The following is a 26568-nucleotide window of genomic DNA, read 5'->3' as shown; positions in this document are numbered from 1 at the left end:
GGAACTCATCCTTGACTTCTTTCCCTGGTCCCACACATCTAATCCATCAGCATGTTCCACTGTTTCTGTTTTGTTTTGTTTTGTTTATCTCCAAAATATACCCTGACGGTGTCCTGCCCTCCATCTCCATTGGTGTTACTCTAGTGCAGGTACCATCATCTCTCACCTGGACCACTCCAAGAGCCTCCTAATTGGTTTTCCTGCTTCTTCTCTTGTCATGGCCATATTTCATAGGTAAGAAGGGGGAAAAGGGTTTATACTCATGGTCTGTCTTTTCACATGGAGGAAAATTTTCCCAGAAGTCTTGCCCCCCTAGATTTCTCTCCGTTCCCATTGGTTGGTATACAACCCCCCACTGGTAAATTTGACGGGCTTAAAAATTAATTAATTAATTAATTAATTTCAGCCTTAGGCTTTCCATTTACCTGACTTCTTTGATGTTAGTCCACAGTCACATATTAGATAATGCCACTAAAGTGTCTTCATATGCTGAACTTGGATCTTTTGTGTTTAAGCTAACAAACGGATATTTGAGGTAGGTAGAGGGAGCTACCTGGTAGGCAACAGGTTGATTTCAAATATATTGCCATCTTTCTCTGCCTCAGTGTTTCAACAATTATTTGAATAGTTATTGCATTTTACCTTCGTTTTACTAAAAGTATAAAATATAAAATGAAATTGTTAAGAATGGGAATTAGAAGCATTGGTCTTATGAACAATCGTGACAATCAGAAACATGGGAATCCTCAGCCTCCTCAGATACTTTTTTAGACATAAACTGATTAATTTTTGTTCAGTTGTAATGGAAAAATACAAAATTGATAATATGAGTTAAATGCTAGAACCATATTGCAAAGGTTATTCTAAAGTTTCATATAGGTATATACAATTATTTATACTCTGGACTAAAATCCTCCTTGTAACATATAATTCTATTGTTCAGCTTTGACACATTTGATTTAAATCCACATTTTCACAAACTCGTGTATGAAAAGGGGACTGTCTTCCTTTCTTTATATTCAAAATTCTCCAGTCCTGTGATTTTGTTGAATCAACTTCTCCCATTCCTTCCCAATACCCGCACCAATCCTTTTACTCTTAACAGAAATCTAATATTGCTGTTCCTCTTATGTTTACCTCTGACTTTTCGTCTCTGTGCTGAACCGCAGCTCTCCCCTCTCAGCCCTTTTCATTGGAGTCATACTCTTTTTCCTTATCCCTACATTGTTGGCCAAACATCTTGATTATTTTTCTTCCCAGAGTGATTCTAAATGCCTTTAGGCAAAGGGATTAGAAATATAGTCAACATAAAGAATTAGAAATTAAAACAACTCATCTGTTGATGAGTGCCCTCTGTTTCTTAGTATGTTATTGCATGTAGATTATTTCTTGCTCATCCTCTCTAGGCCATAAGAACTATTCCTCTGCTCATCACAGCTGTGACTATTCTGTTATAAGCACTAAATAACTCTAACAAACAAAATGTAGTGAACAGTGCACACAGAAGACCTAAATTCCAATCCAATGTCGGTCTTTCACATCATAATAAACACAGCAAAATCCTACTCATTTACACGTAGTAGAGAGAAAACTCTAAAGTTGTGAAAAGTCTGAATTAGAGACTTTAAAAAACCAAATCATTCAAAAACAAGCAATGGGGAAAGGATTCCCTATTTAATAAATGGTGTTGGGAAAACTGGCTAGCCATATGCAGAAAACTGAAACTGAACTCCTTCCTTAAACCTTATACAAAAATTAACTCAAGACGGATTAAAGACTTAAATGTTTAAGACCTAAAACCATAAAAACCCTAAAGAAAACCTAGGCAATACCATTCAGAACATAGGCATGGGCAAAGACTTCATGACTAAAACACCAAAAGTATTGGCAACAAAAGCCAAAATTGACAAATGGGATCTAATTAAACTAAAGAGCTTCTGCACAGCAAAAGAAACTATCATCAGAGGGAACAGGCAACCTAGAGAACGGGAGAAAATTTTTGCAATCTATCCATCTGACAAAGGGCTAATATCCAGAATCTACAAGGAACTTAAAGGCAGGCGGATCATGAGGTCAGGAGATCGAGACCATCCTGGCTAACACAGTGAAACCCCGTCTCTACTAAAAATACAAAAAAATTAGCCGGGTGTGGTGGCGGGCACCTGTAGTCCCAGCTACTCTGGAGGCTGAGGCAGGAGAATGGCGTGAACCTGGGAGGCGGAGCTTGCAGTGAGCCAAGATTGTGCCACTGCACTCCAGCCTGGGTGACAGAGGGAGACTCCGTCTCAAAAAAAAAAAAAAAAAAAAGGAAAAAGAAAAAAACGACCCCATCAAAAAGTGGGCAAAAGATATGAACAGACACTTCTCAAAAGAAGACATTTATATGGCCAACAAACATGAAAAAAAGCTCATCATTACTGGTCGTTAGAGAAATGCAAATCAAAACCAAAATGAGATATCATCTCACGCCAATTAGAATGGCGATCATTAAAAATGTCAGGAAACAACCGATGCTCAAGAAGATGTGGAGAAATAGGAACACTTTTACACTGTTGGTGGGAGTGTAAATTAGATCAACCATTGTGGAAGACAGTGTGGAGATTCCTCAAGGATCTAGAACCAGAAATACCATTTGACCCAGCAATCCCATTACTGGGTATATACCCAAAGGATTATAAACCATTCTACTATAAAGACACATGCACACATATGTTTACTGCAGGACTATTCAAAATAGCAAAGACTTGGAACTAACCCAAAAGCCCATAAATTATATATTGGATAAAGAAAATATGGCACATATACACCATGGAATACTATGCACCCGTAAAAAAGGATGAGTTCATGTCCTTTGCACGGGCATGGATGAAGCTGGAAACCATCATTCCCAGCAAACTAACAGAAACAGAAAACAAACACTGCATGTTCTCACTTGTAAGTGGGAGTTGAACAATGAGAACACATGGACACAGGGAGGGGAACATCACATACTGGGGCCTGTCAGCGGGGGTGGGGAGCTAGGGGAGGGATAGCATTAGGAGAAATACCTAATGTAGATGACGGGTTGATGGGTGCAGCAAACCACCATGGCACGTGTATACCTATGTAACAAACCTGCATGTTCTACACATGTATCCCAGAACTGAAAGTATAATAATAATTTTAAAAAACGCTAAATCATTGTATTCCTTTTGGAAACATACAGTAACTTGAACTAGTAAGAAGGAGTTTCTAAGTAGAAGCTCTAGTTGCCTACTTTAGTGATGGAATAACACTTTGGGTAGTTAGCTGTATCTATTTACATATAAATAGCAAATGCATCTATCTCCTTTGCTTTTAAGTAGGCTAACATCCTAACCACCACAACCACACAATCACAGTCTCACTTAGGGGACTAATTTGCTTTCTTTAGATAGCAGTAAAAGTTATTCCTTCCAAGAATGGTTTCGTTAGCGATTTACATTTTACATTATTTTAATCTCCATAGAGTTATATGCCTGACAAATTTAGAAAGGGATACACTGAATTAAAATAGTGTATATGATTTCAACTGCAAGGGGCAGATTCAAACATTGCCTTAGGCTGTGGTGACCCTCAATTTGTCACTCAATTTATTATAAATAATTAGGCAGTCATTTGTTATATCATAATATGTATGAGTCTTGAGTTTAGAGAAACAAAGCAAGATTATACTGAAAGTTTGTACTGAGAATTTGCAGGCTTTGATAACCCTAAGATACAGCACTTAACTAATGCCCTACCTCCACCTCTCAAATTTATTTTAAGGATAAAAAAAAGGGAGAGTAAGTGCCATTCAAACCCCATAAGATTTATAGTAAGACCACTTTAGTTTTTACCCGGTGCACATGGCACTGTGACCCTGAACAAGTCACATAACCTCTCTAAGCCTGTTTTCCAGCTACAAAATGATATTACCAGCCTCAGAACATTATTATTATTAATTATTATTATTTTGAGACAGGGTCTTGCTCTGTTGCTCAGGCTGGAGGGCGGTGGTGCGATCACAGCTCACTGCAGCCTCAACCTTCTGGGCTCAAGTGATTCTCCCACCTTAGCCTCCTGAGTAGCTAGGACTACAGGCACATGCCACCACAACAGGCTATTTTTTTTTCTTTTTAAGAGACAGGATTTCACCATGTTGGCCAGGCTGGTCTCAAACTCCTGAGCTCAAGTGATCCTCCTGTCTCGGTCTCCCAAAGTGGTGGAATTATAGGCATGAGTCACTGCACCTGGCCAGAACATTATTTTGATTATTAACTTTAATCATGCGCAAGAAAATGTTTTGTAAACTGTTTAGTACCATTTAAAAGCTAGAATAAAAATGGGGAAACATTTACTTTGTATTTTGTTGTTTTTTAAATAGAACTGTTCTGGTTTTGGCTTAGAGGAAATGTTTTCTCTAACACCTGGCACCTTTTGAAAAACTACTAAAAACTCTTTCACCTGTGATTGACTTGTAATTATTTCATACTTCTGTGAAGAGAAGGAAGTATGATAGAAAGTAGTGATTTTAGACAAATTCTCAAATCACCCCTACATTCCTGAAGACTTTTTGGTCAGGAAAGCATCCCTGTGTAGATGAAATGTGGAGTTTAAGTTGATTTTACAAAAACATCAAAAACTTTTAGTTACATTGTTAAAAATTAAATCTCCACTATGTTTTGTCTGAACAAGAATTAGTTTTACAGTTGGGCACGGTGGCTCACGCCTGTAATCCCAGCACTTTGAGAGGCCGAGGTTCGGGGGATCACTTAAGGCCAGGAGTTCGAGACCAGCCTGGCCAACATGGAGAAGCCTCATCTCTACTAAAAATACAAAAATTATCTGGGCGTGGTAGTGGGTGCCTGTAGTCCCAGCTACTTGGGAGGCTGAGGCAGGAGAATTGCTTGAACCCAGGAGGCGGAGGTTGCAGTGAGCCAAGATCGTGCTACTGCACTACAGCCTGGGTGACAGAGTGATATTCTGTCTCAAAGAAACAAACCAAACCACAAGACTAGTTTTACAATGATAGTTTAGTAGTAGAGTCCTGAGAAATGACAGAAAAGAGCTGAAGGGAAGAAATGTCTTTAACATTTTTGTAGTTTTACATAAATAAAAACTAAAATAGCAATTATTTACTAGACTAGATAATCTAACTCCAGGTGCTGATAGGTAATATCACCAACAAACAATTTTATTGTTAGTAGGACTTTAAGTGCTGAATAAAGAGCAAAAAAGAAGAGGAAAAGTAAATATGTAATAATACATTACCTATCACAGCTCGGAAATTCAGAAATTTCGCTCAGGTCAAAATGCCAGTCATTTCACCCCTGCCAAAATCTCCTTGGAGAGCCTATCTGCCTGCAGACTGGAAGGACATTCCTTAAATAATAGGGGCTGTGCTCTGCTCTCTGACCAGCTAATTTGACTAGGGGCAGTCACTTGGCCCAAACTGAGTAAATCATATTCTGAGAGACACAGAAGCTGAAGTGGATAGTGTTGACACTGATGATGCGAGGTCATGAAGACTTGTTGCCAAAACTGGCAGCATGACAGCTCAAAACCATATGCAAGCCAGTGTTATGAGGGTAAAGTAACCAAAAAAACTTACAGAGATGCAGAATAACTAGTCTGCCAAAAGGAAAATGGAGCAGATGTGAAACAAGGACAAAGAGATTGGAAAACCAAGCAAAGGGAGGAACAGAAAGAGGGAGAGAAGCTGCCTGATCACACATGCTTTCTTCAGTTGGGTTCTGTATGATAACTTAAAATAAATCTCCTTCCCATTACTTGTGCTGGCTCCAGTATGTTTTGATTCCTCAGAACCAGAGATTACTTTAGTAAGATATGCACCAACTGGACTAGAGCCAAAAGTAAAAAAGTAAACAAGAAATGCATCTGAATAGCCAAATTGCATTTTCAAAATACTATATACAAAAGATCTTGTGATACTAAAAATCCTTTATTACTTTTTAAATTTGTATAACAACTGTATTAAGATTTAACTTACATCCTATAAAATTCACCCTTGTTTCATTGCTTGTTTACTTTCAACTTTTTAATTCCATCAGGCTTCCAGATCTAGTGTCCAAGTCTATGAGTAGCTTTATTAACAGAGAGAATGGCCAGGAGAAGCAAGCACACTACAGCAATAAAAAGTGACAGTTGACGGCCTAGCAGCAAAGGAGGAAACAGAAAAACTATAAATAGGAGTACAATAATTCCAAAGAAGAAAAAAAAAAAAAAACAATCTGGGGCCATTTAGAGTGTTTTCGTCAGGCTCTTTTGGTTCCGAGGAACAGCTCAAGTTACATATAATATTAGGGGAAGGAGTTATAAGGAATGAAGAAAACAGGGATCTCAGCCCCAAAAGGCCTCGTGGGAACCCAGGAGAGGCCAAATCACCAAGCCTCTGGAAGAACAGGAGCTTCAAGAGCGAGAAGTCTCATGAAGACTGGAGCCAGGACGTCATCGGGAATCCAAGGTTACCTCAGGACTTCAGCATCGGGAGTTCACCTCAGCGATGAGTTATTTTTGTGAATCTGCTCTCCCTTGCCTCTGTGCTTGTCAGTGTCGTTCGGTTTCTGGGCTTGCCCCTAACTGACTTCCTCGTCCTTTCTTTGGAATTTGCAAACTGGCAGCTCCTGACCTATTTCAGCCTGCAGACTCATTGTGTTTGGCCAGCAGGACGCCTTTGCATTGTTGAGAATTCCGAAGTCTCTGGGCGTGGCATGAGCTTGGCAGTCCGGAATCTTTACGTGCGGGATCACCTTCGCCGCGCCCTCTTCTCTCATTGGCACTGCCTGTCTACTGCCGAGGGCATTTGAGTGTGGGACCCATGCCCTGCATTTCTTCGCTACCCCACAGCTTCTGCTCATGGTAATATCTGGTTTCTTATCAGTTTTGCTTGTTCTATCCCATGGACTCTGTCTGTACTGTATATCCCTTTAGCTCCCACTGCTAACCAGTCATTCAAATTCTCCAAAGGGAGAATCTGGACCATCTCACCCATTTTTGGCTAAACTTGTCCCGTTGGTTCATAGTATAGAAAGCGGCCAACCTATAGGATAGCTGCTTTGGGTCACGTGTGGGCTCTTTGCCCAATCAGCCGTGGCTGAGGGGCAGCCTGGCCCACTTAGACCAGAGCACTGCTGTCTAGGCCCGCACCTCCGCAGGGACTGTGGGCAGAGCAGTTACCTTAGAAAGCACCTAGGGACAGGCGGCCACCGTCACTGTCCAGTGCACTGGGTAAGAGTGACCCAACTCTTCAAACCATAAAAAGCCCCAGAGAATCAGGCTCCATCTAGCCTCCCCAGATAAAGTCTATGACAGTAACATGAAGTCTTTAAGAAAAGGTTAAATTGTGTTCAGTTTCTTCTATTTAAGGAAGCAGTGATGTGTACAGTAGACTTTGGAGTAATTTCCATTAAAAATTATTAAAGTAAAAATAGTAAAAAGTATTTAATATGTACTCATATTTGGGACAGCTTGGGTTTCTTTTTTTCTCAATTCAATCTCATTTTCCTTTGAAATAGAAACTAGGAAGTTGTTGAGTAGATATCTCTGAACATTTTCTAATCTTGGCTCTGCCACTTCCCAGCTAGCAAATCTTTTGTAATACAGTGCCTCAATTTCCTCATAGATAAAATGAGGATAATAATAGTACATCTTTCACAGGGCTGCCACTTTAAATGAGAAAAATCCAAATTAAACATTTAGGATGGGTACCTGGTTTACAGTAAGTGTTAAAAATTGTTAACTATTAGTATTATTGCTGTTGTTGTTGTTTTGTTGTTCTTATATAAATAGGGGAGCTATGTACTAACATATTAGTAGAGTTTTTATAATGGTTGATAATAGTTGAGGTTTTCCTATTTGTATATACGTAATTACTTTTCCTTGACACAGTGTTCTAGCTCTGTCATAAAAATTGTGTATTGCATTTCCAATTAAAACAAATTGCTTCAATCAGATTGCTTAACTGTATAACAACAGGGTATTGTTTGGGGAGATCTGAGCTTATTTTAACCCTAGTGCTGGTCTATCTACCCATTAGCTTATCTTGGTGCCTAGACTGAAAGGCAACCTTCAGAGCAGGCCCCAGTGCAGACAGTTGTCAATTTGAAGGTAAACACCTTTGAAATACAACAAAGGCTATAGCTGATGTCAAAGGACTTATCTAAAGACCGTCTCTTTGGAGTCTCTGGCCAGTTCTAGGATGACTTCCTGCCTGGAAACCAGACAGGAAAGTGCTGAATGGGTGCACGCCAGCGGGGCTGGGTCTTGAAAGGAGTGGGACTCAATGAAACCGTTAGAATCAACAAGGGAGCTTTAGAAAACATACCAATGCTGGTCCCATCTTAGACCAATAAAATTCTGGAGCTCGGAGGTGGGGCACAAGAAAGGGAGAAGGTGAGCAGCCATATTTTTTAAAGCTCCCCAGATACTTATAATGTGCAGCCAGGGCTCAGAACCCCAATGTTCTGGGGCTTCAACTAATTTGCCTCTGCTACTGAGCACTACTCAGAAGAGAGGCTAGCAGGTAAGAACAGAGGAAAGGAGGAAAGAAGACATTGCCCAAGAACTTGGTCATCATATCAGCCTTGTCAGCAGTTTATCGAGCCTTACCCTCTGCTCAGCACTGTGTGGAAACAGAGCAGAGGGTGAAAAGAAGATAATGATTAATACTGCCTGCCTTCACAGAGCTTTCAAAATAGTTGAAAAGTCAAAATTAGCACACAAGAAATGGTGGCAGAACCGTGAAGCATTATGTTGTGGCTATGATGAAAAGAACATGCTCCGAGAGTTTGGCAAAGGGCAAGGTGAAAGTCAAGATGGAGAAGGTGGAACCTCCTGAAGATGAGAAGGATTTGGGCACAAAGGGAGCCTGAGGAAGTGCATTACAAGCACAGTGAACAGAATGAGCAAAATCAAGAAAAGGCATGGTGTAGGCACAAACAGTGACAGACCAGTCCAACTAGGGTGGAGGATGTTTATTGGGCAGTAGTAGTAAATACACTTGGATAATTTCAGTAGAGTGGGGCCAAAGTTAGAATATCGGGGTACTAGACTGAATAATTTAAACATCATGCTGTAGGGAACAGGGAGTCATTATGGGGTCGTAAATAAAGATAGACAATGTGTTTTCGGTTTTTGTTGTTATTGTTTACAGACAGGGTGTCACTCTATTGCCCAGGCTGGAGTGCAGTGGCATAATCATAGCTGGCTACACCATTGAACTCCTGGGCTCAAGTGATCCTCCCACCTCAGCCTCCTAAGTAGCTAGGACTACAGGAGACACCACCATGCCCAGCTATTGTTTTAAAAAAATTTTTAGAGATGGGCTCTTGCTATGTTGCCCAGGCAACACACAGAAAAGTAAAAGGAACCAGAAAAATATTATGCATAATCTCTAAACACAGGTAACTGCTGCTTTGACATATTTCTTTCTGATTTTGATATACTTTTATATGGTACTGATCTCGCTGTATAAGCAATCTTGAATCTTGCCTCTAATATAATAGTGTGAGCATTTTCTCTTGTCATTAATAGCTTTAAGCTTTGTTTTTGTAGCTATGTGAACTTCCTTGGTATAGATGCACTGTGATTTACTTATAAGACAACAGCTGTCTTAGTCCATTTTGTGCTGCTATAATATAATACCTCAGACTGGGTAATTGTTAAACAATAGAAGTGTATTTGGCTCATTGTTCTGGATCTGGGAAGTCCAAGGTTGAGTGGGCACATCTGATGAGGGCCATCTTGCTACATCATTACATGGCAGAAAGCATCACATGGACAAGAGGAAGAGCAAGACAGGACCAAACACACTTTTGTGACAAACCCACTCCCATGTTAACCCACCCCATTTATGAAGGCAGAACCTAGGTTTGTTCTTTTTTTTTTCCATACTAGAAATGGTAAGAAGGAACAAATTTTAAGAGTTAGCAATATACTGAGGGTGAAAAAGAGAAAAGAGTCAAAGTTGTCATGTTCTTGGCAAATGTAAATAAGACAAAGCAAAAAGAGAACCCATAGACAAAATGAAAGATTAAACAGCAATATAGAAAAAAATTGAAACACATATGATAGAAAAGAGGCTAATTTCCACAAAATATAAACAGCTTGTACCAATCAATAATGGTCAACATCCTAATAGGAAAATGGGCAAAGGACATGAACAAATGGTTCTAGAAAAGGAAATACAAATGGGTTTTAAAAACAAAAGATAATCCACTTCACTCACAATTAAGTGTGCAAGTTAAAATGAAAATGAGATAACATTTTAACAAATTTGCAAAGACCAAAATGTTTAATAATACACTTTGTTAAAGAGGATGTTGGAAAATAGGCAATGCATACATTGCTGATAAGACCATTTGTCTTATCAAGGTGATTTATGTGATCACTTGTAGGATAATTGGACAATAGATATTGTATTAGTCTGTTTTCACACTGCTATAAAGAACTTCCCTGAAACTGAGTAATTTATAAAGGAAAGAGATTTAATTGACTCACAGTTCTGCATGGCCAAGGAGGCCTCAGAAAACTTACAATCATGGTGGAACGAGAAGCAGGCACCTTCTTCACAAGGCGGCAGGAGAGAAAGAAGTGCAAACAAGGGAAATGCCAGACACTTATAAAACCATCAGATCACGTGAGAACTCACTCACTATCATGAGAACAACATGGGGGAAATTACCACCATGACCCAATCACTTCCCACCACATCCCTCCCTCGACACTTGGGGATTATGGGGATTACAATTCAAGATAAGATTTACATGGGGACACAGAGCCAAACCAAATCAGATATCAGTATGGAAAGTGGACATATCCTTTAAACCAGCAATTCCACTTTTAGGAATTTATCCTACAGGTAATTCACAATATGTGTAAAATAATATATAACCCAGATAATTCTTACAAATATGTTTGTAGGAGCATAATATTGGAAACAACATAAGGTATACCAATAGGAAATTATTTAGTTAATATATGGTGTATCTGTAAAGTTAAATATCATGCAGCCATTAAAAAGAACTGTGTGAGTTTGTAGGTACTGATATATTAATAGTAATTCTCCAAGATATATTCTTGAGTAAAAAAGCAGGGTGCAAAGGTTAGTACTGTGTAAGAGAGGTAGGTAGGGCTGGGGAGGATATATATAGATTTATTTGTATGTGCACAGACTTGCTTTTGATCAATACATATGAAACGGATAATAGTTGTCTGCAGGAGAGGCACTGAAGAGGTGGAAATTAAAGAATAGAATTTAAAAAGAGACTTTCACTCTACCCTTTTATTCCTTTCAAATTTTGCGCCGTATATCTGGTTTTTGTTTTGTTTTGTTTGTTTGTCTCTCTCTGTTACCCAGGCTGGAGTGCAGTGGCACAGTCATGACTCACTGCAGCTTTGACATCCTGGGCTCAAGCAATCCTCCTGCCTCAGCCTCCCGAGTAGCTGGGACTGCTGGTGCATGCCACCATGCCCAGCTACTTTTTAAAATATTTTGTAGAGATGGAGTTTCACCATGTTGTCCAGGCTGGTCCCAAACTCCTGGGCTCAAGCAGTCCTCCCACCTTGACCTCCCAAAGTACTGGGATTACAGGCATGAGCCACCATACCTGGCCTATATCTGTTTTTCTGTTCTAAATAAGATGTCTTGAAAGGAGTTGCAATGGGAATATCTCAAGAGGACGATGGCTTTTCTACATTATGTGAAATCAAGGTTCAAAAGGACGGCCACTTGGATTCTCTCCAAACTGAGATTCAGATACAGCTGTGTCAAGTGTTCTTTCCTTTAAACCCAAGATGATCAGGCTGTGAATGTTGTCTTTCTTATTGAATTGCCCAGCACCTGACCCATATGGGATGTGCTTAATAAATGTGTTAGATAGGAGATTAGGATTCTAACCTAAAGGGTAGAAAAGTGGAGGAGCCATAGATAGAAATGGACGTATCAATGTGAAAGGAAGACTCAGAAACAAAAAGCATTTAGAAGTGAAAAGAAGATTCCCTGCAAAAATGTTACAAGGGAGTCAGATTTCAGAAAGACCAGCTCAGAGCCTTGGAGCCAGTCTGCACTTTTCGCATTAATGCTGTATACACAGCAAGAGTCTCAAGAGGGTTGTGGAGAGAGATGAAGTTGGAGAGGTGGGCAGGGCCAAGTTTTCTTGGGCCTTAGAAGCCATGGGAAGGAGAGAGAAGGAGAGAAGTTAGAAACTGAAAGGACAAACATATTGTTCAGACTACTTTGGCTTCAAGAGATGGAGAGCTAAATAAAACAGGTAATTTATTGCCTTGGGTAACTGGAAAGTCCAGAGACTCAACAATATCATCAGGATATTCGTTCTCTTTCTCCACCCTCCCCAACACCCACTTTTCTGTGTTGGCTTTATTCTCTTGCAGACTCTTTCCACATGTTGGCTTCTGGCAACTCCAGCTTTGCAATTAACACATAAGTGTCCCCAACAGTTCCTAATAGTTCCAGTAAAAATCTCATCACTAATTCATATTGGACTACTGTGTCAAATGTCCATCCCTAAAATAGTCACTATGCCAGGCAAAGATCATAACCCTTACAGGTCATGACTTTAATATTATGAACCAAGAATGAGGGAGGGATGGGTCTCCAAATAAATCAGGATGCTGTTTCCAAACACAAAGATGCTGAACAGTTGAAAATAATAAAAATAATAACAGTCCACTATGGTCAAAAACAAGATCAAACGACAGTTGTTCCCTTCCTTAACAAAAATTAGAAAGAGGCTTTGGAGAGAGAAAAAGTTAAGATGCTAGAGAAGGTTGGGGAGATTGTGGGAGCAAACTCTGGAAGAAGTGGAAGGGATGGTGTTTGGATGGAAACGTCGGTAGAGAATAATTATGAACTCTAAGAGCCAAGAAGGATCCTGGCAGCCCTCTAATCCAACTTCCCCCACCTCTCCTATAAGCCTCCTCCCACTGCCTCCCCCACAAAAAAACAAATTAGGATCCCTTACATGACCATCTAAGCTCTACTTGAACATATTCAGTAATAGATAGTTCATGATTTTGGAAAGTATTTAAATTTTTCATTTGTGCAAATGTATGGGATACATGAGAAAATATTTAATTTTATTGTCATGTGGGTCTGATTCTTTAAAATGTCTGCTTTTCATTGAGCTGAAATCTAGTACTCAGTTTGCCCTCTGGATTAACAAACCATGAAGCTACTTCTTCTTTCATCAGACGATCCTTTAAGTGTTGGAAGACACTTCATTTCTGCTCTAGTCTTTTCTCTCTTAGCCAAGTACAACCAGTTCTTTTGACCACATATCAGGTGACATGGTTTCCAGACTTCTCTTAACCTAGTTGTCTGTCTTTGGATTCATGCTAGTTTGCATGTGTCTCTCTTTAAAATGTGCTTAAATATAAGCCTCCAGATGAGGCCTGACCATTGCTGAGTTCAGTGGGACCATTGACTTCCTTTATCTGGACACTATACATGCTTTGCTAATGCAACCTAAGATTCACTGACTTTTTTTGTTTGTTTGTTTGTTTTGTTTTGTTTTGTTTTTGCAGCACTGTATCACAACTCACTCATTTTGAGCTTGTGAACATTAAAATCCCAAGTCTTTTTTTTTTCCCTCATGAATGGCTGCCAAGTCAGGCCTTTTGTAACTATGTAGGTGGCATTTTTTGATCCAAAAGAATAGAACGTCCTAATGTGTGTGTTTGTGTACGTGTATGTGTGTATATGTATATGTGCATGTGTGAGATGAGCTTTGACCTGTGGTTTCAAGTCAGCCACTGCCAACCTTTGCACCCACTTTTGCTTTGTGCCAGCAGTTCTGGATGAACGAACACTTTGGTGTCTGTAAGCTACACCACCCCTCTCCCTCTCCTATATCAAATTAAAGGGTAGCAGCCAGGACAGATCTGGAGGCACCTGGAATTAGTCACATCTGGCCTGTGCTTTGGAGAAGAGTCATCACCATGTAGCCAAACTGATAAACCTGCGCAAGACCCAGATTCCTAGATCCACCTCGGTATCCTTAGTGGAACTGAAGCCCTTCGTGCTCTAGCTGTGTCATCTGGGGGTCCTATTCCCTTATGACCTGCTCACCTGGTTTATAGAAGACCCTTTGCACAAGTCTATAACCTGCTTCTTCTATTTGGAAAGATCTCCCTGATCTAAGATTTGCACAACCATTGCTGTCTTAAAACATTAACGCAGACCAGGTGCGGTGTCTCACGCCTGTAATGCCAGCACTTTGGGAGGCTGATGGGGGTGAATCACGAGGTCAGGAGTTTGAGACTAGCCTGACCAACATGGTGAAACCCCGTCTCTACTGAAAATGCAAAAATTAGCTGGGTGTGGTGGCGCGTGCCTGTAATCCCAGCTACACAGGGAGCTGAGGCAAGAGAATCGCCTGAACCCGGGAGGTGGAGGTTGCAGGGAGCCGAGATTGTGCCACTGCACTCCAGCCTAGGTGACAGAGCGAGACTCTGTCTCAAAAAAAAAAAGCAAACAAACAAAAAACAAAAACATTAATGCCTAGAAGTCCTCTCCTATTCTCTGTCCCAGGCCCCTTAGACTAGAACCTGTGCATGTTGACAGACAACATAATGAACTAAAGTTCACTTTGTCTCTTGGATTTGATAATTTCCACTGCTGACCTCTCCCTGGCAGAGGCTAGATCTTTTGACTCAATGAGTCTCAGCCCCAACACTGCCACGAGGTCCTAAGTACCTTGAGGGTCTGGGAAAGTGCCAATTACGATGATTAAGGAGAATGGGCAACTGGGACACTGAGGGTGTGGCAGAAGGTGGAGTCTTCCCTGACTCAAAGAAAGGGAGGTGCATTGTGTGAGGAGTGGGTGGAGAGTGGGGGGATGTAGATACCACCTGCCCTTTCATCTCGCCTCCCATAATGCATGCATTCAAGAGCAAAGACAGCCATTCTTATAAAAGAACTGAGTTCTCAGACTCATCATGATGCGAGACTCTTACCTCAAACACTTGAAGAGCCTACCTGTTTTCTAGGATTTATTTACCAGTTTTCTCACAAATCTCTGCAATAGCTGTCAGATTGTGTCAACAGTAATAAAGAAATGATATATTTGTGCTTCTTGATCACATATTCTGAGTCCCTGGAGAAGAAATGGTGCCTTGAAGAACAATGGTGAAGCAGAACCATCCATGGTGCTCTCATCACCTTTCCAAACTTGTTTTGTGTGATGCCCTTTTTGTGTTATTTTCAAAAGAGGAACCGGATGTTTTCCTAAAGGGAAATTTCTAGCATCCTCTTTCTGAAAAATAAGACACTGGAACTGAGGGACCATCCACTCAGGATTTCCCAGGTTATGACCACAATAAAGTCATGGATGACATCACCTATAGGAGAGAGTTTTTCAAGAACTGATGCAGTAAGTAGCATATAAGAAGTAATTGTGGCCAGGCACAGTGGCTCACGCCTGTAATCCCAGCAGTTTGGGAGGCCGAGGCGGGAACATCACTTGAGTCGGGAGTTTGAGACCAGCCTAGCCAACATGGTGAAACCCCATCTCTACTAAAAATACAAAAATTAGCTGGGCATGGTGGCACACGCCTGTAATTCCAGCTACTCGGGAGGCTGAGGCATGAGAATCACTTGAACCCAGGAGGTAGAGGTTGCAGTGAGCCAAGATCATGCCACTGCACCCCAGCCTGGGCGACAGAGTGAGACTCTGTCTCAAAAAAAAAAAAAAAAAAAAAAAAGAAGTAATTGCTGAATTTTATAAGAATTCCTAGATACTCAAACACTCTTCCTTACCAATCCAAAATTAGCCAGAAGATGAGAATAATTTTTCTTTACATTTGTTAGCGAGGCTAAGATTAAAAACAGAAAAACCAAACCAAAGATGTGTGGGACTTTTTTCATAGCAAAATAAAAAGTACCTGGAAGACAATCCACATAGAATCATTTCAAGAGAAGTAATGCTGACACATCTGCTGAGGAACTGTTAATCAGAACGTTTAGACCAGATCCAAGGATGTCAACCCATTGGCTCCTCTGCTGATTATTTTGGGACAGAACCAAATTTCAAAAGGAAAAGAAGTATAAGATAACACTTAAATAAACCTTGCCAATTCTGAGTTAGAAACTATTAGCAAATATGCTCAGCACTTCTTTCATCAAAGAGAGTCAAATACAGTTTTGTGTTTGATACAGACTGTTTAAAGTGTTTAAGATAAGTATCACTTATTTCAAAATAAAAAATATTAAGGCCCATAAGGAGTAAGGTCTTGGAAGAGGGAAGAAGGGAATGAATTCAAGAGCTCATGGGAAGGAAATAAGATAGAGAAACTTGAAGGGAAGGCAGGGAGAGATGGCATGGGACAAAGGTGGATAAGGGGGTCAAGTGCTTTCCCCTTTATTGAATGGTATCAGTAAAGCAGGAAAGGGGGAGGGGTTACCTCAGTTTCCCTCACTAGACTGCAAGATCTGTTAGGGCAGGGACTGGCTCTGTTCTGTCTCTAGTATAATACCCTCTGCCCAGCACAGTATACAGCATATTTTTGATTCTCAGTTAGAATTTGCTAAATAAAAGGAATGAAAGAATGTGGGCATTAGGGACTTAGAAGAATGGAAAATGCTGGGAATCGCTGTGTTAGGAACTGTGCTCTGGAATCAACAAGAAATGAATAATGAGGTTGCTAAACTGAGGTTAGGTGGTATGCATTTAAAGAGAATTGAATCAGCATTTTTCTGAAGTTCAGAAGAAAGAACAGAAAAAGCAAGCAGATGGGAATTGGCATGACCAGCAGAGTGGAATAGAAACAGGGTAAGAGAGTTTCGTATGCATGTGAGGGTGATGAAAGCCAGGCTGGAAATGAGGTCAAGGGTGGAGACAGACTGAAAACGGCAATAGACTGACAAGGTCATGAGATTACAGGCACTTCTGAAGGCTTTAGACAAAGAGCATAAAACACCCGGATAGCAGATAGCATATAGCTTTGTAGCACATAGATTTGTAATAGGATAAGTGTCCAACTCAAATATATACCCTGAATTCTGTGAGTGTTCAGACATGGACTGTGTCTGATATGTTTTCTCTAGTAGCTCAGTTTGTTAATTAAATAAATTTTAAAAAGAGGAGAGAAGGAAGAAAATGAGTTAAAGTCTTGCTTGACGTGTTATATCTATTGAAATTATGAGCTTAGATTTTATGGATATAAATGTGTGTGTGTGTGTGTAATACATACTCACACATAAATACATATACCATCCATAAACATCCACAGATATTTTCTGCAATATTGAGGTTGATAACAATGACTAGATAATCGGTCTGTTAAGTTGTGTTCAATCTTCCCTACTGTGGGATGGGGCCAAGATATGGCAAATATAGGCTGGGCTTGAGGACCCAGGGCGTAGGCTAGAGGTGTGGTGCTGCTGAGGGCAGAGAACTAGATCCAAATTCCTGGGTACATATAAAGTTGAAACGTCTTGTTCAGAGGTCACTTACTGAAAAGGGAGGACCTAGAGGTGACAAGGTGTGGTCTCACCAGCATCAGAGATCATGAAACTGGCCAGGTTAAACAGAGGGGCAAATTAGCAGACACCATAGAGGCAGATCCAGAATTACTTTGTAATTTTATAATTTATAAATTTACACAGTTACATTGTAACTACTTTTTGGAAGACTCAGAAACCAAACTCTCTGCAAAAACCCTTCAGGCTCTTAAGTTCTCTGCCTTCAGTATCAAACATGTTTCTTCTTCTAGGATTTTCTATTAAAAATCGATGCTTTTAAGCTGGGCGCAGTGGCTCATGCCTATAATCCCAGGACTTTGGGAGGCCAGGGCAGGTGGATCACCTGAGGTCAGGAGTTCGAGACCAGCCTGACCAACATGGTGAAACCCCATCTCTACTAAAAATACAAAAAATTAGCCGGTTGTGGTGGTAGGCACCTGTAATTCCAGCTACTCGAGAGGCTGAGGCAGGAGAATGGGTTGAACCTGGGAGGTGGAGTTTGCAGTAAGCTGAGGTTGTGCCATTGCACTCCAGCCTGGGTGACAGAGTGAGACTCTATCAAGAAAAGAAAGAAAGAAAGAGAGAAAGAGAGAGAGAGAAAGAAAGAAAAAAAAGAGAAAGAGAGAAAGGAAGGAGGGAGGGAGGGAGGAAGAAGGAGGAAGGAAGGAAGGAAGGAAGAAGAAAGAGAAAGAAAGAAAAAAGATAGATCAATGCCTTTAATCAATTTTCCTATCATCTCTTGTTAAAATGTCTTGTCATGAAGTTCTGTTTATTTATTTTGAATTTTCTTGAAGCAAACGCGTAGATTCATATTTAGGTTTCTCAGGTTGGAAATTCTTCGTTTGTGAAAAATCAATGCAAATGTATGTTAGAAGCCTAATTAAAAGAAAACAGTGATTCATTACTAGATGGGGGTAAAGTGGGAGTAGGGTTTGGACAGAGGAGAGAATGAAAGGAACTTCCACTCTCCTCCAGATTTCCTTAGCCTTTAAAATGTAGTATTTCAAGGGAATCCATTGTTTGTTTTAAAGAAAAACAAGAATTCCACACTTGTTTTCCTGTTGGGTCTATAAATCAGTAAATATTAAGGTGGAAACAAAAGAAATACTTCTTTGTGATTAATCATCAACTTTAGTCATCCAAACTCTTGAACTTGATTGTGCTGCAGATTGTACTTCTGAAAATAGTCTCAAGTATTGTTTCTATACCCCAAAATGCTTGCCACTAAATTATTCCTGTTCTATTCAACACTGAAATACAGAGAAGATCATTTAAAAGGGCTCATGTGATCTATGGAACTAACTTTATAAATCTAGATTGGGCTTCCTCCGCTGTAAAAAATAAATTATAGTAGCAGCTTCAGTGTGTGGGAATTTTCTTTGAACAAAGTCATCTCAAAATCACAGCTCTGTAGTAATTGTTCAGTTTTTCCCTCATGTCCTTGGGATACATTGTACAAAGTTTTGCTTTTATCACAGGATACTAAACCCTTAGAAACAATTTGAAATTGAATACAGATCTCTGGCCCCGAGACCTCAGATAAATTTTTCTCCCTTGCTGAGTTATCCAACCATTTAAAAATCTTACTTTCTTTGATCGTTGACAGGAATGTTGGTTTGGCACAGTCATTTTACAAACAACTTGTGATGTTTATTGAAAACTCCCAAGTATGAATTTCAACAAGTTAACACAGGGCCCTAAATTTTCCCTTCCAGCCCTAAATATCAGCTGATATGTTCAAGTTATTATATGTCATCTCTTGCCTATCTTTTCATATCACACAAACTTTCAATTAGCCATTTTGGGTTCTGACCACATTTGCTAGGAAATTACTATTTAAATATGTCTTCCTCTAACACATTTCTAATGGGATTCCCCTGGCAAAGGTAGATGAAATTTTAAAAACTGGAGCCGTACTAGAAACAGAATTGTTTTTGGTAATTGCTGATGAGTTTCTTGGCTAGCATACGTGCAGTTAATGTGACAATTCTAAGAATGGATGGCAGAAAAGAAGGGTGAAACGTGGTCATCCTGCAAAAACAGGCTGTCCAGCAGGAGTTATTTTCTACTTAGTTGCCTTTCTCTACTGTTTTCTTCTTACTGTTTCAGTGCTGAGATTCTGCCAAGAATATGAATTAAATACAATGTGAAAGGAAAAGGAAAATATTCAGATAAAACTTCCAAAAATGATATTACAGAGAAGAATAAAGTTTTCTTTCTTCCTTAAAAACTTTCTATGAAATACTACCTTCAAATAAAAACCATTGAGTCCTATATCCCATCATCTTAAAATAACACTCTGGGTAACAGCTAATATTTATGGGCTTACCTCATTTTATTGTGCTTTGCTTTATTGCACTTCACAGTTTTTTTTGTTTTTTTGTTTTTGTTTACAAATGGAAGGTTTGTGGCAACCCTGCAACCAGCGAGTCTATTGGCAACATTTTTCGGCAGCCTGTGCTCATTTCATGCCTCTGTGTCGTATTTTGGTAGTTCTCACAATATTTCAAACTTTTAAGTTATTATTATATCTGTTATGGTGATCTGTAATCAGTGATCTTTGATGTTAATATTGCAATTGTTTTGAAGTGCCATGAACCACTCCCACTGAAGACAGTGAACTTAATAAATGTGTGTGTGTGTTCTGACTACTCCACTGACCAGCCATTCCCCCATCTCTTCCTCTTCTTGGGCCTCCCTATTCTTGGAAACACAATCTTGAAATTAGGCCAGTTAGTAACCCTACAATGACATCTAAGTGTTCAGGTGAAAGGAAGAGTTGCATGCCTCTCACTTGAAACCAAAAAACAAGAAATGATTAAGCTTAATGAGGAAGGCAGGCCAAAAGCTGAGATAGGCTGAAAGCTAGGCCTCTTATGCCAGTTAGCCAAGTTGTAAATGCAAAGGAAAAGTTCTTGAAGGATGTTAAAATTGCTACTCCAGTGAACTCATAAATGAAACAGCCTTATTGCTAATTTGGAGAAAGTTTAAATGGTCTGAATAGAAGATTAAACCTTAAGCCAAAGCCTAATCCAGGGCAAGGCCCTAACTCCCTTCAATTTTATGAAAGCTGAGAGGTAAGGAAGCTTCAGAAGAAAAGTTTGAAGCTAGCAGAGGTTGGATCATGAGGTATAAGGAAAGAGTTTGTTTTGTGCCATGAAAGTACAAGGTGAAGCAGGAAGTGCTGATGTAGAAGCGGCAGCAAATTATCCAGAAGATCTAGCTAAGATCATTAATAAAAGGGACTATACTAAACAACAGATTTTCAATATAGACTAAACAGACTCATATAGGAAGAAGATGCCATTTGGACTTCATAGAGAGGAGAAGTCAATGCTTGGCTTCAAAGCTTCAAAGGAGAGGCTGACTCTCTCCTTAGGGGCTAATGCAGGGGTGACTTTATGTTGAAGCCAGTGTTCATTTACCATTCCACAAATGCTAGGGCTTTTAAGAATTAAGCTAAATTATGTCAGGGTATTGATAAAGAAAAAAAAAAGAATTTTGCTAAACCTCCTTTACACGTGCTCTAGAAACGGAACAACAAAGCCTGTATGATCACATATCTGTTCACAGCATGGTTTACTGAATATTTTAAGCCACTGTTAAGAACTACTGCTCAGAAAAAAGATGTCTTTCAAAATATTATGTCTCACTGACAATTCACCTAGTCACCCAAGAACTCTGATGTATAAGGAGATTAATATTGTTTTCATACCTGTTAACCCAACATCCATCTGCAGCCCATGGATGAAAGAGTAATTTCAACTTTCAAGTCTTATTATTTAAGAAATACATTTTGTAAGGCTATAGCTTCCATAGATAGTGATTCCTCTGATGGATCTGGGTGAATTGAAAACTTTCTGTAAAAATGCACCAAGCTGGAAGCTATTTGTCATTCATGGGAAGCGTTCAAAATATCAACATTAACAGCAGCTTGAAAGAAGTTGACTCCAACTCTCATGCATGACTTTGAGGGGTTCAAGACTTCAGGGGAGGAACCACAGATGTGGTAGAAATAGCAAGAGAACTAGAATTGGAAGTGGAGCCTAAGATGTGACTGAATTGCTGTAGTCTCATGATAAAACTTGAACAGGTGAGTAGTTGATCCCTTATGGAAGAGGAAAGAAAGTAGTTTCTTTAGATGGAATCTACTCTTGGAGAAGATGCTGGAAACATTGTTGAAATGGCAACAAAGGATTCAGAAGATTTCATAAACTTAGTTGATAAAGCAGCAGCAGAGTTTGAGAGGATTGATTCCAATTTTGAAAGAACTTCTACTGTGGGTAAAATGCTGCCAAGCAGCAGTGCATGCTACAGAGAAATCTTTTGTGGAAGGAAGAGTCAATTGATGTGGCAAACTTCATTGTTATCTTATTTTAAGAAACCGCCACAGCTACCCTAACTCTCAGCAACCACCACCCTGATCATTCAGCCACCATCAACATCGAGGCAAGACTCTCCACCAGCAAAAAGATTATGTCTTTGACTTGCTGAAGGCTCAGATGATCATTAGTATTTTTTAGCAATGAAGTATTTTTAAATTAAGGTATATACATTTTTACACGTGATGCTATTGCACACTTAATAGCCCACAATATAATGTAAATATAACTTTTATATAATAGGAAACCATAAATTTGTGTGTCTCGTTTTATTGCAATATTTATTTTATTTTGGTGGTCTGGAACTGAACCCACAATATCTTCAAGGTATGCCTTGAGCTATTACTAAGTGCCAGACACTGTGCTAAATGCTTTACGTGTATTATTTTATCTAATCCACATAGAAACCCTATGAAGAAGGTATTTTTATTACCTTCATTATAAAAATGAGAAAACAGGCCTAAAGGACCTTGATGTATGGGCATTCATCACCCTGATATAGTCATTTTAGACCTTGTACTGGAAGGGCTCTGAGAATCCAAATGCACCTGTTATTTTTCCACCCAGTGAATATTAGCACCTACAAGTATAATCAGTATGGGGATAGAGGTTGGTTATAGCATTTTTCAACTTTTAAAAGGTTTTCTTCAGTAATTCTGCTTCTAGGCATATAACCTAGAGAAACTCTCCTGCATGAGCAAGAAGATACATGTATGAAAATGTGTATTTACATTGCAGTCAAAATGAATAAACTAAATTTCCATGTATCAACATGGGTAGATCTTGAAAATAGTGTTTTGTTGTTGTTGTTGTTTTTTAAAAAATAAAGGCTATAAAATGATACATTCAGTATAAAATCATTTATGTAAAATTTTGCTTAGTAAAAACTATTTAAAATATAAAACAATAGAATATGTTATTTGTGAATTTGTACTTATGTTGTAGAAGTATAAAAATGTGAACCAGATAGACTAGGCACAGTGGCTCACGCCTGTAATCCCAGCACTTTGGGAGGCTGAGGCAGTTGGGTCACCTGAGGTCAGGAGTTCGAGACCAGCCTGGCCAACATGGTGAAACTCCATCTCTACTAAAAATACAAAAATTAGCCAGGCATGGTGGCGGGCACCTGTAATCCCAGCTACTTGGGAGGCTGAGGGAGGAGAATTGCTTGAACCCGGGAGGCAGAGGTTGCAGTGAGCCAAGACCCTACCATTGCACTCTGTCCTGGGCAACAAGAGCAAAATTCCATCTCGAAAAAAAAAAAAGAAAAAAAAAGCCTGGACGCGGTGGCTCACGCCTGTAATCCCAGCACTTTGGGAGGCTGAGGTAGTTGGGCCACCTGAGGTCAGGAGATGGAGACCAGCCTGGCCAACATGGTGAAACCTCATCTCTACTAAAAATACAAAAATTAGCCGGGCATGGTGGTGTGTGCCTGTAATCCCAGCTACTCAGGAGGCTGAGGCAGGAGAATCACTTGAACCTGGGAGCGGGAGGTTGCAATGAGCCGAGATTGTGCCATTACACTCCAGCCTGGATGACAGAGTGAGACTCTGTCTCAAAAAAAAAAAAAAAAAAAGTGAACCAGATAGGTAAAACTTCAGGATAGCAGTTACTTGAGGGAAGAAAGGAATGGTGCACTAGGGGAAGGTGCAAAGTAGGCCTCAACTCCATTTCTATGTTTCATTTATCTTGTTTTAAATAATAATACAAATATGAGAAAAGTTAACATTTATTCTTACAGGGTCTACATGAATTTATTACCTTATTTTCTGAAAGCTTTTGTGTTAAAAAAGAAAAAAACTTTCATCCTAAGAAAAATTTATATTCTTGCTGGAAAAGAGCAGGAATCACCATATAAAACATAATATCACTAAAATTTTAGCTTACAAATTTTTTTGAAGCAGGTTTAACTACAAGCTCAATTTATCCATAAAATAACTTAGTAAACCATCCATAGAATGTCCATCTTTGAGTCTTGGAAACTCCATGTATCCTCCAAAATGAACTAGTTGTAAAATATATTCCTCAGTAATTTGATTACGGTGAATTTCTTTATTCAGCTTTACATTAGCTGCAAACCACAGGGTGCCAGTCCCTACAACCTCTCACAGCATTATCCAGGGCAACAGGAAGAACAGTTGCCTGGGGATTGCTCTGGGCCATGTGCTTCTGGCCATAATTCCTTCTTGTGGGTCACTGTTATCATCTGGACTGTGCATTCCCAAATCTGATTCCCCCAACCACCATTCTTCCTCTCCCTTTCTTCGTTTCCAACAGCACAGGATTTCACTCTGAGGGTGAAACCATGCATGCTATCAAATTGGGCTATGTAAATCCGGTAGTGAGTGTTCTTTGTTGCATTATTTGGTATCAAGCTTCTGGGTCATATCTAAGAGTGTTCCAGCTTGAAAATTAATTTAATCTCTTGTTTGTTTGCTTTTGTTTGGAATCATTTCACTCGCTAGATAATAATGTAGTTGAGGAATGCTGAAGCCAGCATTATTTGAAGTGCTACTCATTGCTTACAGTTATATTTCATAAGTGTGGAAATTATTCTGTGTATACATTTAAATATAATCCTTTTCAGTTATATAACAATTAGCACCCATTTTTTTGTGTGCATGTATTCATACACATTTTTTATTTGCCTTGTTTCAAAATTGATAAAAGGGCTACAAATATACATAAAATATAGCACGAGAAAAATTCAATCTGAAGGCAGTGAAGAAATGGGAACAGAGAATTTAAGCCAAGAGTGAGTTAAGTATATAAAATACATCCTTTTAAATCTTATACACAGACCGGAAGGAGACCACATATAAGGCTTTAAGCTTTCTCACAGCCAAGGGAAATACTGTCAGTTCCACAATTAGGTTTCCAGAAGGCAAAAACAAATGGGGATAATAAACAAGGGAAACACAACTATACCAGGTGCTAAAACCAAAGAAAAATATTTTCTAGATATTGTCAGAGAGAGTAAATATAGCAACAAGTTTCATGGCTCCTATAAATCCCTTAATGTAGGCCCGAAGTATTATACCACAGGGGATTCTTTAAGGAAATCTGAGGGGAGGAAGGAGCCATGGCATGGGGTCAGGGGCTGGAGAGGGTGGGGAGGGGGTGTTCTAGGCCCTATCCAGGGGCAAAAATGTCACAACAGTTGGCCTTGACATTGAGGCTCATTACCAGGGTGACCATGTAATTTATTGTCTAACTCAGGACACTTTGAGAATGAAAGAGGGTACTGTTAATAATCAGGTCCCCACAATAGGTGTAAGCCATGAGTGTCCTGAGCAAGCTGCCACATATGGTCACTCTAAGTCATTGCTCATCACCTGCTGACATCCTGCCCCAGTGCATCCTGCCACTCTAGACCTCGTGAGCCAACCTCATCCTGTCAAACATGGAGTTTGTCTAACCAGCTCAATTTGTAGAAGCCTCTGGAGGATTCTGGTCCAGGTCACCAGCACAGTGTGGGCTTGCCTGTGAGTCAGTCAAACAGGGAAGGGAACCAAGAAAGACTGGAGTAGGCAAATGGGAACAGTCGCCTGAGAATCCATCAAGAAGACCTTTGGGGATATGTCAGAAGAATGGGTGGGAGGGGAAATAAAGAAGATTCTAAGTAATTGCATGGGTCCCATGAAGAGGAAGAAACAATTTCCTTTCCCCTGGCACTCTCTGAAGGGCCCAGTGAGAGATCTAGTGGAAGAAAACTTCCTGAAGTTGGGATATTATCATAATGACTGAAACACTTATGAGAGGTGACAGCGTGCTGGCAGTCCTCAGAGCCCTCGCTTGCTCTCGGCACCTCCTCTGCCTGGGCTCCCACTTTGGCGGCATTTGAGGAGCCCTTCAGCCCACCACTGCACTGTGAGAGCCCCTTTCTGGGCTGGCCAAGGCTGGAGCCCACTCCCTCAGCTTGCAGGGAGGTGCGGAGGGAGAGGCGCGAGCGGGAACCCGGGCTGGGCTGCGTGCGGCGCTTGCGGGCCAGCTGGAGTTCCGGGTGGGCGTGGGCGTGGGCTTGGCAGGCCCCGCACTCAGAGTAGCCGGGCAGCGCTGCTGGTCCCGGGCAATGAGGGACTTAGCACCCGGGCCAGCGGCTGCGGAGAGTGTACTGGGTCCCCCAGCAGTGCCAGCCCACCGGCGCTGCGCTCGATTTCTCACCGACCCTTAGCTGCCTTCCCGCGGGGCAGGGCTCCGGACCTGCAGCCCGCCATGCCTGAGCCTCCCACCCACTCCATGAGTTGCTGTGCGGCCTGAGCCTCCCCCAGGAGCACCACCCCCTGCTCCACGGCAGCCAATCCCACAGACCACCCAAGGGCTGAGGAGTGCGAGAGCGCACGGTGCGGGACTGGCAGGCAGCTCCAACTGCAGCCCTGGTGCGGGATCCACTAGGTGAAGCCAGCTGGGCTCCTGAGTCTGGTGGGGACGTGGAGAGTCTTTATGTCTAGCTCAGGGATTGTAAACATACCAATCAGCACCCTGTGTCTAGCTCAGGGTTTGTGAGTGCACCAATCGACGCTCTGTATCTAGCTGCTCTGGTGGGGCCTTGGAGAACCTTTGTGTTGATACTCTGTATCTAACTAATCTGATGGGGACATGGAGAACCTTTATATCTAGCTCAGGGATTGTAAAGGCACCAATCAGCACCCTGTCAAAACAGACCACTTGGCTCTACCAATCAGC

General features: G+C 40.5%; 1 protein-coding gene and 1 long non-coding RNA gene across 13 annotated transcripts in view, besides 2 other annotated features; one reads left to right on the top strand and one right to left on the bottom strand.

The window, feature by feature from the left end:
- LOC124901991 (uncharacterized) overlaps positions 1-6679 on the bottom strand; it is a 45617-nt gene extending 38938 nt beyond the window's left edge. For 2 of the 3 annotated variants that reach the window (XR_007061030.1, XR_007061028.1), the window contains exon 1: positions 5272-6679. This is a non-coding gene — a long non-coding RNA (uncharacterized LOC124901991). The remainder of the gene's footprint in view (positions 1-5271) is intronic. The other variant, XR_007061029.1, reaches the window with a different exon arrangement.
- Positions 5943-6754: an enhancer, noted in NCBI's record as "OCT4-NANOG-H3K27ac-H3K4me1 hESC enhancer chr8:101348461-101349272 (GRCh37/hg19 assembly coordinates)". NCBI's record gives its function as "activates a minimal SCP1, AML or CMV promoter by ChIP-STARR-seq in primed H9 embryonic stem cells {active_cell/tissue: H9 hESC(primed)}" and the evidence as "EXISTENCE:reporter gene assay evidence [ECO:0000049][PMID:30033119]".
- Positions 6755-7567: an enhancer, noted in NCBI's record as "OCT4-NANOG-H3K27ac-H3K4me1 hESC enhancer chr8:101347648-101348460 (GRCh37/hg19 assembly coordinates)". NCBI's record gives its function as "activates a minimal SCP1, AML or CMV promoter by ChIP-STARR-seq in primed H9 embryonic stem cells {active_cell/tissue: H9 hESC(primed)}" and the evidence as "EXISTENCE:reporter gene assay evidence [ECO:0000049][PMID:30033119]".
- RNF19A (ring finger protein 19A, RBR E3 ubiquitin protein ligase) overlaps positions 6783-26568 on the top strand; it is a 79138-nt gene continuing 59352 nt past the window's right edge. For all 10 annotated transcript variants that reach the window (NM_001280539.2, XM_047421671.1, XM_047421673.1 and 7 more), the window contains exon 1: positions 6783-6879. The gene's annotated coding sequence lies outside the window, so the exon portion shown is untranslated. The remainder of the gene's footprint in view (positions 6880-26568) is intronic.

This window comes from Homo sapiens, chromosome 8, assembly GCF_000001405.40.
Source record: "Homo sapiens chromosome 8, GRCh38.p14 Primary Assembly".
In the NCBI taxonomy this organism is placed as follows: domain Eukaryota; kingdom Metazoa; phylum Chordata; class Mammalia; order Primates; family Hominidae; genus Homo; species Homo sapiens.
Note: the sequence above shows the minus strand (reverse complement) of the source record. Positions and strands in the feature narration are given on the sequence as shown.